The 19627-nt window shown below is 31.8% G+C and overlaps 1 protein-coding gene across 4 annotated transcripts in view; it reads right to left on the bottom strand.

Annotated features, from left to right (window-relative positions):
• The window catches only part of SI (sucrase-isomaltase), a 111335-nt gene that overhangs the window by 24730 nt on the left and 66978 nt on the right, over positions 1–19627 (bottom strand). For all 4 annotated transcript variants that reach the window (XM_047448735.1, XM_047448736.1, NM_001041.4 and 1 more), the window contains 11 exons: positions 17602–17756; positions 15975–16143; positions 14343–14439; positions 14134–14246; positions 13921–14046; positions 12325–12453; positions 11496–11606; positions 9353–9415; positions 5652–5768; positions 4284–4371; positions 3189–3327 (listed from right to left, as the gene is read on the bottom strand). In XM_047448735.1, coding sequence (XP_047304691.1) covers positions 3189–3327; positions 4284–4371; positions 5652–5768; positions 9353–9415; positions 11496–11606; positions 12325–12453; positions 13921–14046; positions 14134–14246; positions 14343–14439; positions 15975–16143; positions 17602–17756 — 1307 coding nt within the window. The remainder of the gene's footprint in view (positions 1–3188; positions 3328–4283; positions 4372–5651; positions 5769–9352; positions 9416–11495; positions 11607–12324; positions 12454–13920; positions 14047–14133; positions 14247–14342; positions 14440–15974; positions 16144–17601; positions 17757–19627) is intronic.

A 19627-nucleotide genomic window follows, 5' to 3' on the forward strand; every position in this document is an offset into this window, starting at 1 on the left:
TTTTTATTCTTTTATCAACTTCAGCTATTTGTTAGAACAGAAGTTTTCAACCCTGTCTGCTCATTAGAACTGCCTGGAAAGTTTTAAATATTCAGATGCTTAGGCTATAAAAGAGACCAATTAAATAATAATTTATTTAAAAATCACAAGCCTTATGGTGATTGCAAATGAAAAAGCATACAACAGATATACAAAATATAAAAAGCAAGAAATCAAATAACACCAGAGAAAAGGGAAATAAGAAGAAATGAAAGAGGAATGAGAAGACCATTAAACAACTAGAAAACAAATAACAAATGGTGGGAGTAAGTCCTTACTCATCAGTAATGAAATTGAATATAAATGGATTAAACACTCCAATCAAAAGACGCAGTGAAAAGACAAACCACAGAATGGGAGAAAATATTTGCAAAATAATCATTTGACAAGGGATTAATGACCAGAATATATAAGGAGCTCAAACAACTCTATAGGAAAAACTTCTAATAATCTGATTTAAAAATGGGCAAAATATTTGAATAGGCATTTCTCAAAAGAAGACATACAAATGGCAATCAGGCATATGAAGAGGTGCTCAACATCATCGATCATCAGAGAAATGCAAATCACAACTACAATGAGACATCATCTCGCCCTAGTTAAAATGGCTTTTATCCAAAAGACAGCCAGTAACAAATGCTGTTGAAGCTGTGGAGAAAAGGTAATGCTCTTTCGCTGTTGGTAAGAATGTAAATTCATACAACCACTATGAAGAGCAGTTTGAAGTTTCCCCAAAAAATAAAAATAGAGCTACTATATGATTCAGCAGTCCTGCTGCTGAATATGCATCCAAAAGAAAGATATATCAAAAAGATATCTGCCCTCCCATGTTTATTGCAGCACTGTTCACAATAGCCAAGTTTGGAAGCACCTTTAGTGTCCATCAACAGATGATTAGATAAAGTAAATATGGTACATATATACAACGGAGTCCTATGCAGCTATAAAAAAGAATAAAATCCTGTCATTTGCAACGACATGTAGGAAACTGGAAGTCATTAAATGTTAAATGAATTAAGTAAGACACAGAGAAAAACTTCATATGTTCTCACTTATTGTGGCTGCTAAAAATTTTGAAAAAGCAAAACATTGAACTCATGAATATAGACGGGAGAAGGATGGTTACCAGAAGCTAGGAAGGGTTGTGTGGGGGTGAGGGGAAAGCAAGTGTTATGGTTGGGCTTTGTGATCCCACCCAAATCTCATCAGGGATTGCAATCCCCACCTGTCAAGGGAGCGACCTGGTGGGAGGTGATTCCATCATGGGGGCGGTTTCCCCTACGCTATTCTTGTAATAGTGAGTTAGTTCTCATGAGAGCTGATGGTTTTAAAGTATGGCAGTTCTCCCATCACTATCTCTGTCTCCTAAAGTCATGTAAGATGCACCTTGCTTCTCCTTCACATTCTGCCATGATTGTATGTTTCCTGAGGACTCTCCAGCCATGCAGAACTGTGAGTCAATTCAACCTCTTTAAATTGCCCAGTCTTTAAATAAACATCTTTAAATTACCCAGTCTCAGGTAGTATCTTTATGAAAGAGTGAAAATAGACTAATACAGCAGGGATGGTTAATGGGTGCTATATATATAGTTAGAAAGAATGAATAATATATACTATTTGATAGCACAACAGGATGATAGTCAATAATAGTTTAATTGTATACTTAAAAAAAACCCTAAAAGTGTAATTGGATTGTTTGTAACACAAAGGATAAATCTTGAGGGGAAAAATCCTTCTGTTTTCTATGAGGTGATTACTGTGTATTGCATGCTTGGTATCTCACTTGCCCAATATATATACCCACCTACTATGTGCACATGACACTTAAAAAAAATCTAAACCCTAAAAAGAAAATCTCCAAGTGATTATAATATGTAGTCAAAAGCCAGGGATCTACAACTGCAGTGTCTAATATGGTAGCCACTAATTATCTATTATTTCATATTTAATTATTGTATACTACTACTTAAAATTAAATAACTTTAAAATTCCATTCCTGAGTCACACTAGACACATTGTTCCATGGCCATATATGGCTGGTAAGTACCACATTGGCACCCAGAATTATAGATGATTTCTATATATTTATTTATTTTTTCAGACAGGTTCTTGTTTTGTTGCCCAGGCTGGAATGCAGTGGTAGGAGCACAGCTCACTGCAGCCTCAACCTCCTGGGCCCAAGTGATCCTCCCATCTCAGCCTGCCAAAGTGTTGAGATTACAAGTATAAGCTGCTGTGCCTGGCCAGAAGATTTCAATCACTGCAAAACTTGTATTGGAAAGTGCTAATAAAGAATTGATTTTCAGTGAATGGTCTGTATTCCATCATCATTGGCCTTACATAAAAGTTTGTTAAAAATGCAGATAATTACTATGATCATTAATATTTGAGAAGTTCATTAAAAGTGCTCTAATTTACTAATAATGAATTTATTTATTTTATGTTTTTATTTTTATTTTGAAACAGAGAGTCTCGCTCTGTTGCCAGGCTGGAGTGCAATGGCACAATCTTGGCTCACTGCAACCTCTGCCGCCCAGGTCCAAGCGATTCTTGTGCCTCAGCCTCCCGAGTAACTGGGACCACAGCTCTGCACCACCACTCCTGGCTAATTTTTTGTATTTTTAGTAGAGATGAGGTTTCACCATTTTGGCCAGGCTGATCTTGAACTCCTGGTCTCAATTGATCCGCCCGCCTCAGCCTCCCAAAGTGCTGGGATTACAGGCGTGAGCCACTGTGCCTGGGCTGACAATGAATTCAAATAACAGATTTCGCCAAATGTTTGATGCTTTATGTCTTAATGATATCAAATTATATGTTATTAATTCATTTATAAATATTAATCCAATATTATTTATTGAGCACCTACAATTGGCCAGGCACTATGCTGGGCACATAGAAACAAAATAAAAATGGTCTAGGATTTATTTTGGAATAGTATAGAAATTAGAATAATAACAATAAAGATATTTAGATAAATTAGATAGAAAGAAACACATTTTTTCTAAATGCTATGAAGGAAGAAGTTACAGAGAACAATTGGGAAGTAAAGAGATACAAGAGAAGATTGTCGGGACTGTTAAAATGATAACATTAAATGTAAGAACCAAAGAATAAAAGAGTCAGAGAGGATAATTCAGAACATTGCTTACTCATGAGTAGGTTTCATCTGTGACCATCCATAGAGATTGTGAACATCGTAATGCAAAACTGATGTTCCATCACTAAGAATCTGCTCAGCTTCCATGCAAATTGTTCTGAAATGTAATCCATCAGTTCTTTTTGTGAGTTCTGGAAAGAATCAATGAAAAAATATTAATATATTATACAGTGCCCTACAATGAAACGTGTAACTCATAATTATGTATTCCTTGACAAAGAAATTAATCAGTGTTTTATAAAACCTATGTATATTTTAACCATTTGTATACTTTGTATGAGTTAATTATCAACTTAAAATGGCCTGAAATTGTAACTGAATTACATGAATTAATAAAAACCTGAAAAATAAGTACACTCCTCAATGTCTACTCTTTCTAGTGCATTTAGATGGAAAACACTGATTAGAGTTTTATTAAAAATTCACTTGGTATCATAAAGCCCAGAGTTTAAGGGCTAGGCAAATGTTATAACACTGCCTTTTGATCCACATTTTCTCAGTTTAAGATTTTTTTCCAGAGTTTTGCCATCACTTAATATGCTAATAGTTTGTGACGTTTTCTGCCTGCATAAGAGAATGATGATGAATATGAAACATCACATTCATCTTCATTTCCTTCTATGTCAAAGGTAAACAGATAAGTGTTAGCATTCTTTCCCTTATCCTTAGTAAAGAAACACTTCTAAAAACTTCCTTTCAAAATAATTTTATTTTTTATCTTAAAGAGTATTTAACATTTTTTGAATCTGGGAAAATTATTAAGCAAACCAAAATAACAACTTCAAACAAATTTAGAATTGTGTTCATGTAGATAAAATATATTCCTTGATTTTTTTCTCAAAATAGTGTTAAATAATATTGGTAATGGGTCAAGGTGTGGTCCAGTGTGTGGGTGGGTAGTGAAAATTGGGTGTGTGAATCCTATTCCCTACCTTCTATATATATCAAACTGATTTTTTATATATACATATATATTCTATATATATATTCTATGTATAGCTAACTGATATATATCAGTTTATATTATATACCTATTAATATATAATAATAACATGATAATATCAAAGGCATACCAACAATATTGTACCTGGGAAATAAGGTGGATAATTTAGTTCGTCATTTCTGCATTGATTAGTAGTTGTTCCATTTACAAAACTTGATGGCTCATTCATATCCTTAAAAAAAGATGAAAGAAAAAGGTAAACAAAAGATAAATTTACAACATATATTCTCAAAAGAGCTAGTTCAAAAAGTAAGTAGGTTAACATATTTGAACAATGTTATATATACTCACTATTCTAAACAAACAAAATTGTAAAACATCTCAATGATATTAGTTTATCTCATTGATTGCTTTTTTCAGTTTCCTTTTGAAAAATAAAATGTTTTGTTTTCTCTGTATTATGCATTATACCCATAAAAATAGTTTATTTTCATATCTTTAAGACATAGCATTATAATAATATGTGCCCTATCATCTCCTTCCCCTCCACTCCTGCCCTGAGCCTGATATCAATTGCTTTTATTGCTAAAACTACAAGATATATTAATAGTTTACAAATGCAGATAATTTCAAGAAGTATCTCTATTGAGTACATATCTCAGAATCTCAGTAGTCATATTTAAAAGAATCATGATCTAAATAAATAAGTCAGCCACCATTTAAAATGGATTGCCTCCACCTGAAAAAGATAATTTTCTCTGGATCCAGATGACATTCTCAGGAATATACTTAAGAGAATCCCTTATGGTATACCAATTGCTACATCTAATAAACATAGATGTTCCATGAATTTTTAAACAAAATATATGCTTTATACAATCTTATATCTACAAAGTTTCCACATAGTGACAGCTGTATAAAGCTTTTTTCAATTTAAAAAATAAGTAAATTAATGCTTTACACTGGAAAAATCAACAAAGTAAAAAATTTTTCCTCCGGAAATTGAAATATATTACATAAAATTTTCTGTATTAAGCATTTACTTGTAGCAAAGTAAATTATTTTTATGCTATCTAAAAAAATATATTATTAAAAATCTTACTACTAACATTTTAAGATTACATCAAAAAAGAAACTTTAAAAGACAATGTTACCAAATTTAAGAAATTTTTATCTCTCATACAAAGGACTAATGGTTATTTAAGCCTGACACTTATTCCTATATTAAATAAAAGTGAAATAAATATTTACAAGGATTTATTAATATATAGAATATTTTGCTTTTTGAATTTTGCAAATTGAAAAAGTCCAGGAAATAGCATCCATACACATAAATTTAGTTTTTAACACTTTACTTTAGCAGTTGTTTGTGTAAGAAAGTTCTGTGGGGGAAAAAAGTGGACTAGTTTTCAAATAAAATATTTTGTTGACATTATTTGAGCCAAGTACTAATTTTGCATAATCACTGCACAATAAATAACTTAAAACATAGATTGTTCAAAGCTTACTTACAATCCACAAACCATCAAACTTCATCTTTTCATTGTAAAAGTCCACAATTTCTCTGGCCCACCACTCTGCTGTGGAAGTCCTGAAGAAATCTGGGAAAGCTACATGAGCTCTGGAAGCCTGTAAAACCAAAATTTAGGCTCACATGTGGAAAGTCTTAAGAGAGATTATATACATATAAATCTGAATGTATTTGACAGATCCACAAGTCATGTATGACTGATAATGAAGGAAATTGACATCAATCTTAATTACATAAATGTGTGTGGTTTCTTCCTCAACACTTCAATAGAGTAAAGAGGGACATCGGTGGAGATAATAGAGCCATTTTGGAATCCTATGTGAATTATAAAGGAACAGTTCACAACCCACAAAAGCATTATTTTTAGTGCTTCCTAGAGTAATGGGGAAGCTTTTTTTCTCTGTTACTGCAGAGCCCATACTTCAGGTTTACCTTTGTGGAGCACAATGAAACAGCAAAGGGCCATAGTATAAAGCCTGTTTTTATATAGCTTTCTCATTTCCCAGAACCATCTCACCACCCTCATCAACTGCTTCTTTTTTTGTCTCTCACATCTAGCCCTTCTCATCCCAACAGAGAAGAGGTGTTTTATTCCAATCTCTACTAAGAATATTCCCTACTTGCCAGTCGAAACATAAAAGTTCCAGTGTCAGAGTAACCGTGTTTTAGCAAAAGATTGACCTGCAGCTAAGTTAATTGGGTATGTCTCAAAAAAATGACATGACAACCTGGATGCTTTTTTGGCACATGTTAAGATTCTGTTGTAACGGCCTTAACAGTCTTCTTTATGAACAAGATATCGGAGGACATACAGAAAATGCAGAGAGTAGGAAATATAGAGATTTACAAAATACATATGATGGATTTTGTTTTTTTTTTAAGATAGAGTTTTGCTCTTGTTGCCCAGGCTGGAGTGCAATGGCACAACCTCGGCTCACTGCAACCTCTGTCTCCCAGGCTCAAGGGATTCTCCTGCCTCAGCCTCCAGAGTAGGTGGGATTACAGATGTCCACCACCACACCTGGCTAATTTTTTGTATTTTTAGTAGAGACGGGGTTTCACCATGTTGGTCAGGCTTGTCTCAAACTCCTGACCTCAGGTGATCCACACGCCTCGGCCTCCCAAAGTGCTGGGATTACAGGCGTGAGCCACCGCACCTGGCCTATGATGAATATCTTCAAGAGTAGAAAGGGACTTAATTTTATCATCTTACCTATTAATTACATTTTACTCATAAGGATAGAAGGCTTGGTGGGATTATATTGAATATTTTCTATGCAAGGATCTCCCGTATGATAATTAATAACAAATGGTAGTGCCAGATCTTTTTCATTAATTTTCACTTTTCTGCTCTTTACATAATTCATTTTTTAGTTTAACTTATTCTATTAGCTGGCTGCTTCTATCACTTAAATAAAATCATTGATTATATCCAGAAAATCAATCAGGTACATGTAATCCAACACTGTTGATACCTTTTGTGGAAGAGAATCCCAGGGAATTCTGCATAAGCCATTCTACGTAAATTGACACTGTCCTCCAACACCTATATAAAAATCCATGCCTGTCTCTCTAGTGGTTCTCAAGAATAGTGGGTGGAACTCAAGTTGAAATAACACTTTTTTCCTCAATGACATAGTTCAGTAGGTTCAATTATCTGACTCTGTTTTAGAAGTAGTTTTGGTAAGTTTTAAGCTCCCAAATTTTTCACAGTTACCTAAACTTGTATAATTTAATGATTGTAAATTCATCTGGCTAAAAGAAGGATCACCAACTCTTAGTTTTGTTGATATTTTCTATTTATTTTGTGTTTTTCTTTTAATTTTTACTCCTCTAATCTTTATTTTCTTCCCTCTACTAACTTTAAGTTTATTCTTTTTCTAATTCATTGAGAGGTAATGTTATTTATTTGAGATTTTTATTATTCTTCATGTGGGTGTTTCTTGTTATACACTTCTCTCTTAGTACTGCTTTTGCTGCATCCCAGAAGTTTTGCTAAGTTGTATTTTTATTTTTGTTTGTCTGAAGAAATTTTCTAATTCTCTTTTGATCTTTTTGTTGTTCCACTGGCTGTTCAAAAGTGGGTTGTTTAATTTCCACGTATTTTTGAATTGACTTATTTCCCCTCTTTTTCTGATTTCTAGTTTAATTTCATTGTGGCTGGGAAAGATAAATGGTATGTTTTCTATCTTCTCACAATTTTTAAGGCTTGTCTTGTGACTTAACATGTGATCACTCTTAGAAAATGTTCTATGGGCACTTGAGAAGAATGTATATATGGCTGCTTTTGGGTAGAAAGTTCTACGTATGTCTGTTAAGTCCATTTGGCCTACGGTGTTGTTAAAAACTGCTGTTTCTTTGTTGATTTGCTCTCTGGTTGTTCTATTTATTATTGTTATTATTTATTTATTATTGTTCTATTTATGTATTATCATTTATTATTTATTTATTCATTATTGTTATTATTTATTTATTATTTATTATTATTATTTATTTATTATTGTTCTATTTATTATTGAAAGTGTGGCAACAAAGTCTTCAAACAGCATTGCTGTTTCTCATTTCAGTTCTGTTAATGTTTACTTTAAATATTTAAGTGCTTTCATGTTGGGAGCAAATATTTATAATCATCGTATCTTCCTAATGAATTGGCCCTTTTGTCATTATATAATGACTTCTTTTGTCTTTTGTGACAGTGATTGTCTTAAAATGTATTTTCTCTGATAGAACTATAGCCACTCCTGTTCCCTTCTGTTTATCATTTGCATTTAATATCTTATTCATTCCTTTTGCTTTCATGAGTGAATGTTTAGGATGTTATACTGAGTGAAATAAACCAGTAACAGAAAGACAAATGTTGTATGATTCAACTTACATGAAGTATCTAAAACAGTTAAACTCATAAAAGCATAGGGTAGAATGGTAGTTGCCCAGGACTGTAAGTGGGAGAAAATAAGGGCTTGCTAAGAAATAGACACAAAATCTCAATTACGCAAGGTAAATAAATTCTAGAGATCTGCAGCACAACATTGCCCCTATAGTTTACGATGATTTATTATATGAATAAACATTTATTAAGAGGGTAGATCTAATGTTAAATGTTATTACTGTAATAATTTTTTGTCGTTGTTGTTTTGTTTTGTTTTTTTGAGATGGAGTCTCGCTCTGTCACCCAGGCTGGAGTGCAGTGGTGCGATCTGGGCTCACTGCAAGCTCCACCTCCTGGGTTAACACCATTCTCCTGCCTCAGCTTTCCGAGTAGCTGGGTCTACAGGCTCCCGCCACCACGCCTGGTTATTTTTTTTTGTATTTTTAGTAGAGATGGAGTTTCACCATGTTAGCCAGGATGGTCTCAATCTCCTGACCTCGTGATCCACCCACCTTGGCCTCCCAAAGTGCTGGGATTACAGGCATGAGCCACCGTGCCAGGCCATAACTTTTTAAATAAAGGAATGATTGCTTGGATTAAATAAAGCAAAATATAAAATTGCTTAATAGGGTGACTGGTACTTTGTTATTTAGGAAAATTAGGTAAATTTTATCTAAATATGGTCTGATATCGATAATTTAAAATGGCCATCTATTTTTAAAGAAAAGCATTCAAATTTAGTTATTGATTAAAATAATCAAGTCTAAGTTTTGAATTTCTTCTCATTGTATAGTTAGCCCGTGTAAAACTTACATTAACAGCTTCATCTTCCGTTAGAGTTTTATCTATTGTTATGTTGGGCAAATCTGGCCAAACCTACAAGAGACAAGACATGGAAAAGCTGATCAAAACATAGTCAGCATGATATGATTGCTATGTAGATGAAGTGTAATGGAGTATTAGAGGCTTATTATTAACTCAAAGTCTTCAGATCTGCAATCCCTTCAAATCTCATTATTATTGACACACATACCATTTGCAAACTATTCCCATTTTCCATGTTAGTCTCCTCTTTAATATGGCAAATACAAAATAGCATTGCCAACCTTTATGGTAGTTAGTAATTTTGAAAATAATACATATAACCAAAAGGTTCTGGTCAAAAACTAATATGAAAAATATAAGTTAAATTTAATTTAATATAGTATATTAGAATTATTTGTAGAATTACTCCAGGGTTAAAAACTAAAAACAATAAATCTTTTTGTTTGAAAGGAAGCAAAGATCCGATTGAATAATGTCATGCTGAATCAAACATCCCAGTGATTTTCAGAATTAGTACTAAATCCTCCTCTCCCTTCATCCCACCACTATTCCCAGCCTGACCTCATTGCCTACCAACATTTTTTTCCTTCTACTCTGACCAGAAACACACAAAACAGAGCTGAAATTCAATTTGCTGAAAGCTCTGGAAATTTGGATCTATATTGTAGAAGTTTGAAAGTCCTATATAAAAATATAAATAATCCACCAAAAAGGAATTATTTACAAGGGATTAGCTGATGGTAGAGAATAGTGCTCTAAAGGAAGGGGAGAAATGGTAGAAATCTGACAAAATGTGTAGAAATACAGAATGAGGAGAAAGTAGGAAGTTAAAAAAAAACCTCTGGATTAATATGCCTCTCAAGTAGCTGGGGCTACAGGCATGCACCACCATGCCTAGCTAATTTTTAAATTTTTTGTAGATACAAAATCTCCCTATGTTGCCCAGGTTGATCTCGAACTCCTGGGCTCAAGCAATCCTCCTACCTCAGCCACTCAAACTGCAAGCATTACATGCATGTGCCACTGTGCCCAGCCCTGTCTATATTCTTCACTCAGCTTTCTCTAATGTTAACATGTTATATAACAATAGTGAACTTATCAAAACCAGGAAATTAATGTTGATACAGTACAATCAACATTTATTGAACATGTTTGCATTTTGCAGATTTAATCACTAATGTCTTAATTTTGGCCCAAGATTCAAAAAGCCTCTCACATTTCATTTAATTGTGTCTCTCATCATAGATTTTTTTTTGTTGTTGTTGTTGTTGTTTTGAGACGGAGTCTCGCTCTGTCCCCCAGGCTGGAGTTCAGTGGCTCGATCTTGGCTCACTGCAAGCTCCGCCTCCCGGGTTCACTCCATTCTCTTGCCTCAGCCTCCTGAGTAGCTGGGACTACAGGCACCCGCCACCATGCCCTTCTAATTTTTTTGTATTTTTAGTAGAGACGGGGTTTCACCACGTTAGCCAGGATGGTCTCGATCTCCTGATCTCATGATCCGCCCGCCTTGGCCTCCCAAAGAGCTGGGATTACAGGCGTGAGCCACCACGCCTGGCCCTCATCATAGATTTTTTTGATGGTGTTATCATTGTTGTTCATTCTAGTTTTTACTATGAGATTTTTTTCTTGATTGCTTTATATAAAAGCCAAATCAAAATATTTTTGTAATATATTAATATATCAGGTCTGAATATACTTGTTTATATAAAATACAGTGAATTATACTTCATGATCTAAGTTTTAAATATAAGTATAGCTGTCAAAACATGTTGTTGCTACTATTAACATATGTTTTCAAGAGAAGTGAACATTTAAATAACTTGCAGTACAGAATAATGAGTAGCCATCTTACTAATGGTAGTCTTATAATAAATTACAAGTGGTACCAATAAATATAATAAAATATGTCTTAAAGATGAAACAAATCATATTTGGACATGTGACTTATATGAATTCTTTCTTTGTGTCTAATTTGGATTGAACCAAAGACTATACATTATTTTATTAGTTATTAAATCATTACATTTCTGTATAGCTCTCCTGAACGGTTTTAACTTTTACTAATTAAATGGAAACTTTCATTGAAATATAATTTTTGTATTTATTCTATTTCAAGATATCGATTTAGTACCTTTGCCCAACAAATGTCATTGGTGTTTGGCCATTTGACAAAGACATCATTCTGCTGTCCTCTTTCAAATGCAGGGTAAGTCTTTGTTTCATTTCCTGAAATTGCTGGATCCTAAAATTAAAATGAAATATAAACAAGGTACACATGAAAAAAGCGTAACTACTTGGACAGTGATTATGAAGCATAAGTTTTCATTACTACATTATCATAATAATGTGCTCTCACATTAAATGACAAATGATACAAACATCAGTGTTCTAGCTAGATTTCCCTCCAAATTTCTTAGAAGGAAATTCTAAGGACTCTTGGAAATGCATCAGCTATCATTTCAAGAAAGATTAGTAGAGGTTTTTATTTTGTTTTTATTTCTATGGTGAGATATCTGGCTAACTAGCTTACTTCCTATAAGATAGTGATAAAAAATTATCTTCACTGAATCACCAATCTGAAGGCAAGTTTTTAAATATGAAAAACATCAGAAGCAATCCCAGAGAATGAACTAATAATTGTATAAAAATAGAAAATCTACCATTACATTTTGATAACTCCCATAAATAGAGGCCAATTTGTAGCTTGGATGATAACTAGAAAACAGCTTCCCTTTAACTCAGCTTTGGTTTTAAATCTCTAGGGATATACCTAAATACAAAGGTAGCTGATCACAACCCATGCAAATAAAATGAAGTGCTAAAGGAAGAGAGTTTTAGATTTGGGAGTGTTACTCAAAGTTATATACTTTCTATTTTGAAACATCTTCCCCCCCACCTGCTCATTTTAGGTGAATTAATGGAAACAAGAAATAAGACTCAGGTAAACTCCAAGTACTGACCAGGATAATAATGTATCTCATTCCTTCTCCTCTTATTTTGTCAACAAACTGAGGAAGGTCCTGGAATGCTTCACCAATTGTAAAGTCTAGCTGCCTTTCCATGTAGTCAATGTCTGTGTACTGAACATCCTGAAATATCCAAAAATTATCAAAGTAGGGCAAAAAATACAAAATAGTAAGTGTATCATATTTTATCATACTTATAAAAGTAACAGCAATATGAAAGTTTGAGTTCCTCTTCACTAGATCCTAAAAAGAATTAAATGGTTTAGTGTTCAAGGAATAAAAGTAGCATGTAAAGATGTAAAGTATTCTAAGAACAACTTTCTATAAATGTTCTGTTTTGTCAACAGTTCATTTAGTCATTTTGATTTAGAGGTAAAAACTGTTCTAAATTGGTATATATTATGTAATCCTCAAAGGAAACAGAAAGACACTGAGCAATAGGATTTATGATACTATGAAATTAGGTTAAATGACAAATAGGACTTTTGTACAGTATATACAGAAAGAGATGTTGCTGTTTCCGGGAAGTATACAGCAAATATCGGGTAATTTCAAATAATTCTAATATTGGCAAAAGGAGTATTAACAATTACATCAATTACTATAATCTTGTTCTTGTAATATCCATCAAAGTCACTTTTAGGATAACAGCCCTGCTTATCTAAGCAAGAATTGTTTTAAGATAGGTAATTGCAAGTATGTTTAAACCAACAAATATTTGAATTGTATCATGGAATATTCAATTGAAGCCTAAATACAAAATTTGTTAATTATTTTCTGTTAGTTGACATTATCTCAATTTCTTCTTCTATGTGTTATAGAAAGTATGGTCAATAATGTATACCTCCTTTTAAATAATAAATTTCCACGTGCATGTTTCTGTATTGTCAACATATATAATTAATTTCCCATACTAGTTATTCAGGAACTCTATATTGGACCCTACTATAAATACCAATGTCTTATAATGAGGTTTTTCTGATTTTTCTTAGAATAAACTCTTATATATCAAGCCTTCTATATTTTAATGTTTGGGTGTTAGCAGCAGCATCCCTAGGATTCCTTAATTTTGATAAAAAATGAGGAAATTCAGAGATTGATCATTTGTGGATACTTTGGAATACTTAGCTTCCTGAATATTGAGTGAATCTCTATTATATATTACAACTATTATCTATTCCAGGGCAAAAAAAAAATTAGTTCCACCTCCAACTTGTTCTCTGGTTGATGATACAGATTTCTTATCTTATTGATGATACATATTTCTGTGAACTTTAACATGAAGAGAACATAGTGACTGCCTGTACAACCCAGAGTTTGTGAGAGGAAATCAAGTGCACAGTGACTTGTTTAGCACAACACAGCATGATAGTATTAGGGAGGGAAAAGGAAAAGGAATGGTATTTCTTCCTCTCCTTTATCAGTCTGACAAAGACACTGTTTATAAATCTCATATCCAATACATAAGGTGCCAGTAAAAAAAGCTAAGCATTATTACCAGCTGCTTAAATTAAAGTATACATGTTTAATTATTTCATTCTACTTTTACGTATTCCATATTTAACATTGTTTTAAAATTGATATACATACATAGGGGATGTTAGCAGCCACCATAGCGTCATATAATTCCCGAACCTCTGAAGTATTTGCATATCCATAACGACATAATTGGAATCCCAAAGCCCAATAAGCTGGCATGACTGGATGGCCAATTACCTTTAAAAAAAATTCATGTGTGAACTAAGAGAATTACTTTATGCTATAAAAATTTTTAATTTTTTTAAAAGAAATATGCAATCATACTTCATGGTATTGCTTTGTTGCAACTTCTGGAGTTGGGCCCAAAAACATATAAAAATCCAAGATCCCTCCAACTGTACGGTAAGTTAGAGCAGGAGTTGGCTGGAATGTAACATCTGGAAATCCAAAATAACATCCCATTTTCATCTATGTATACTAGTTTATGAAAAAGTCACATAAAATAAGAGACATTCAACAAATGATTGTTTTACCCATTGCATTGCTGTTGAGTAAGAAAACACCATGAGCATTGCCCTCCTCTTCCAGAGCCATGTAATAGGGATGAAATCCATAGGAATTAAGTTTGTACTGAAATACGAAAAATAAGCACAATATATTTTAAGTAACAATAGCATGTGAATTTAATCAATGTTATTTTAAAATTTATTATACAATCGAGACTTGATATTTAAATTCCCGTTTCCCAACCTTAAACTATGCTTCAGTTAAAATAAATGTGTCTCCCTAGAATATAATTGTTTAAATTTTTTCTGCTTTCGTGCAGTTTACAAATATGTTTCTATAATATTTGTATATTAATAGAAATTAATATACAAATATGTATATATTTGTATTAATATACAATATGTAACAACTGCAAATGCTTCCACATTAAATGACATAGAATACTATTGCCATTAGAGTAGTTTGGTTTATTTCCAAAGGTTATGTGTTTAACTTATCTATAAATTGGTATTTTTTCCATAGTAAAATGTCCTAGAAATGATAAAAGTGATGAATACAATTAAACTGTCCAGAAAATATCTTGTTTATATATTTTATATTTATAGAACATTTAAAGTTTTATATTTATAAAATATTTAATTCATTGTTTCATACTGTAATCATAGTCAGATTTTATTAGATTATATACTTTTGATTCTTAATATATATAAAATTACCAGTGAAATAGATTTTATAGTAATTTATTTTTAGTAATATGCAAAATTACTAGTGGAAGTAATTTTAGATATCAAGAATCAAAAGTATATTAGTCTAATAATATCGGTACAAATGCTGAAGGGATTTTAAGAAATCAGTTTTGGTAAAATGTATTCTTTCAAGTTAGTGTTAATAGAAAACAGCCTTCAATAACCTAAGTTTGGAGTATTATGATATAAATGCAAGCTGTTTGAGCACCTAACAATAAAAAATGCTTACAATAGTTCACAGACTTATAGTATGGTACTGAGTATATCCTTTTAAGTATACATCACATGTGAAAAATACAAATAGAATAATTTTCATTAAAATATATTTTTTATGATATGTTTGGAATATTATAGATAATATTATTTGTTGCACAGTACATTAAATATTCATAAAATGTGTTGCATTAACGAGACAAATCTTTGGAAAAAGAGTCATGAGTATATAAAAACACATTGTAAAGATGTAATTAGCACTTTGGCCACATAAAGTTACCCAACTGCAACTGAAGGTTATAAAGGGAAAAAAGATCAAATCAGTACCTGAGAAGTAAAAACAATCAAGGAAAACTTTAGGCAGTTATTTTCTAAAAGCTGGAGTAAAGGTAAACTTGACAGGGAATACAGAATCAGCATATTCTTTGTATGCATTTGAAACAGTTAAGGTATTGAGTCAAAGCCTGGCTTCTCACAGTAGTCAAGCAAATTGTTATCCATCCACTCCTCTACTTCCACCTGTAATTTATGGTGACTTTTTGGGTTTGTTTCTCAGAAAATTGCTATAGCTGCTCTGGAGATCTCTAGCTAATGCCTTTGTCATTACTTCAATCCTAAAGCACAGGCCCATAAAGAAGTGGCTTGGATTCTACTCATGGTCTTAGTTGCCTCGTGGAGTGGTCATATGTTGGTACCTACACCAGGGGGTTGGTCTCTTGTGAACATTCCCCAAGTATTCCAGTTCAGATCTCGCTTAAATGCTGTATGTTCCACTTCCCCAAAACCATATATATATTCTGATGGCAGGCGAGTCGATATTTGAATGAACTGGTCATTAAAAGCAAATCCAGGCAGCCAAGAATCCCAACTGAAAACAAAAGAAAACAAAGCTATGTCTGTCAAAATATATGCAAAGTAGTATCACAAATAATAACGGTAATTCTTTCTTAGATTATCTAAAAATCAATATTATTTTCCATATTCCTAATTATACCCAGGTACCAAATGGAAATAGATGATTAATCTAATACATGTTTTCTTTTAGCTAAGTTAAGGAATATGTAAAATATGCTTCATATACTTATAGGAGAATCATAATATAAATAATATGATTGTACATGTTTTTCTTTAGACAAGTATTCCTTTTAAAAATAAAATTAATATGAAATCATAAATGACTTAGTAATGTGTGACCTAGAAATTAAAAGGCCTCAATTTTCCTGCTCCCTTGAGATAATCACAATACATTTTTTTCTACATATGGAATAAAAATACATCAATATTATAATGAATTTTAAGTTTAACAGATATTCAAATGTTTAACTCTCTCCTATTACTACTCCCAATTGTGTTTTTCTTCCTTTATTTTATGTTCATAAAAATAGCTGTGTATGAAGAAATGTGTTACAAGAAACATATTATTATTCAACTCATTTGCAAGAAGAACATAAAGAGGAAGGAAAGTAACATGGGCAAGGAGAGGAAGCGTAAGTATTACAAGTAATCTGGGCATATTTTAACTTTTTATATTTATTATTTTGGAAAACTATTTAATCGAGAATAATGCTTGTCAAATGACAATAAATAATGCCCTTGCACCAGGATATTTTTATAAAATGACTTAGCTTCCCATGCTTTTGAACAAAAATATTGTCATAACAACAAAATTATTAAAATAATCCAGATATAGTTTTAGATATTATTTGTACATATCTTGACAATACCAGAAAACATCCTGATAACATCATCTAAGGAATGGCATGGCAAACTTAAATTACATAAAAGTATATTTTAATATATTATAGTTTATAGATCTTTTGAATAAAATAAAGACTACAATTTTAAAATTAAATTTATTCATTGTAACATAAAAATATATCTAGACTTACATGTTGTAACTTATTTTCACTAATACCTGGCAGATAAATTATTAATTCTATCAGATTCAAGCACCAATAAACTATTTCAACAGTTTCAATAAAATATTTACTTCACTTGTTTCCAAATACTTATTTTTGCCAACACTTATCATGCTTTTTAAAAGAGGTTTTGGTTTTGGTTCTCAACTTGATTAGAAGAATGAGTCTGATACTAATAGTGAAATTGAACACCTCCAAAGTGTAGATAAAATTGTGGGCCAATCCTTTAAAATAGTCCCATGGACTATGTTTAGCTAGAAATATTAAAATGGGCAAAGTTATTTAACACGTCTTAAATTTTTTTGTGTGATGCTACTCTAGGACAGTGAAGGCTGTTAATCATTTTACTTTTCCCTTCGTAAGCTAAAATTAAAATATCCTTTATATCAAATAATTCAATTACTTACATGACTCTTCCACTGCTTCTCCGTCGAATCTGGATGCCAAAAGGATTTTCCTTGATTTCCACATCATAAAGTCTGTCTTCATAAGTACTTATTGGGGTGGTTGGAATGTTTAACGGTACTGGTACTTCATATCTCTTCTTTTGGGGATCATAAATCTATTGCAGATAAGTAGTAAAAAAGTTTATTCTGATTGCTGACATAGCATGTACATATCATGAACTAAGTTAAATAATGGCTCAAACAAGAATATTTAGAATTTTTCTCCACATAATTTCTAATTCTACATTCATGGTCCATATAACCATATCAATATAGAATTCCACATACACATTTATAATGGGTCCTAACTGAATACTGCATTTTTGAACCTTTAAAAAATGTTTTGTGATTTGTTTTCTAAATAATAAGAAATCAAAACAAAAATTTTAGAGCTAAATATTCTGTTGTATGGGTATACCAAAATTATTTCATGGTTAAAAACAGAAGTTGTTTCAATATTTTTTGTCATACATATTATTATACAATAAACCCTAATGCTAATTTATGTTTATTTGTGTTTTTATTTCTTCAGCACATTTCTTAAATACCACTAGGGTCTGAGTATACTTACCGTTTTAGGGTCTTTGATAACTATTGACAAACTGCTTTCCAGAATTTGTTTACTGATTAATATTCTCACCAAAATGTGTACTCTAATGCTAATTTATGTTAAATTAAAAGCATTTATTTTTCATTGTTAATCATTTCATTTCCTACTTATGAGGTTTCATCTTTTTCTACATTATTATTCAACATTTATGTTCCACTGTACTTTAAACTGCATTTTGCTCCTGGAATTTTTAATGAGTGTAATTATGTTGATATTTTAGTTTCTTCTGTTAAATATCTTCTTATGAGAGGTCTTGATATTTTTTCTTGATTACATGAGTTGGAATTGCTTTCCCTATGTCACATCTTTATCAGATGTTTACCCATTTTTTTGTCCTCTAATTGTTTATAGTGTTTTTTGATGTGAAAACATATTTTATTTTTATGTTAGAAAATGTGTAGATTTTTACCTATGTCACTTAACGCCTTTTTATCTGTGGCTTGAAAGGCCTTTGCTAGCCAGATACAAAATAAATATGCAGCTAAATTTATTTTAGGCTTATGTTTAGTTTTCACATGGAACTCATTCTAAATTTTATTTTAGCATATGATTAAAAACAGACACTTTTTTATATAAATTTTTAAATAACCTACCTCTTCATTATTAATTTGTGAACCTTTCTTCACACACACACATCTTCTATGCTTTTGTGCCATCTCACACACACACACACACACACACACACACACACACAATCTTCTATGCTTTTGTGCCATCACACATACACACACACACACACACACACAAAATCTTCCATGCTTTTGTGCCGTCTCGTTTCAATAAACAACCAGGCAATGCTATCTCCAGTTCCACACTGTTTTAATTGTATGAATTTTTATTCTTTACCCATTGCTGAATTTTAACAATTGCAAGGTGTTTATTTTTTCAGACAAACTTAAAAGTTATTTTATGAAGTCTCAAAAGATATTTCACTAAGATTTATATGAAAATACTTTAAAAGCAGCGACTGAGCTAAAGTGAATTAACATTTAAAATATCGTTTACTCTTATTTATAATTTTAAAATACTTAATATGAACATTTTTAATAGTTTTTCTCCTTACAGATACTCCACTTAGTCCTATAATTTTTGATGATTTATTATTTGATTTTTTCATTTGAGTTTGCTAATGAGATTTGTTGCCATTTCTGCTTCTAAATAATGAGCAATAATACACAAGAAAATATCTTTGGAAATATAATTTTACATCTAGTTATTTTGTTGATATTTTAAATTTCTAATACTATTCTTAATGGATTCCTTTGGAATTCTTAAGTTAAAAAATGCTATCTCTAAAAGTTGAATGAAATTATTGCTTTGGTATGTCTTATTGCATTGGCCAGAAAATTAAGACCACAACTTAAAAATAATGGAAAC

This window comes from Homo sapiens, chromosome 3 (assembly GCF_000001405.40).
Source record: "Homo sapiens chromosome 3, GRCh38.p14 Primary Assembly".
In the NCBI taxonomy this organism is placed as follows: domain Eukaryota; kingdom Metazoa; phylum Chordata; class Mammalia; order Primates; family Hominidae; genus Homo; species Homo sapiens.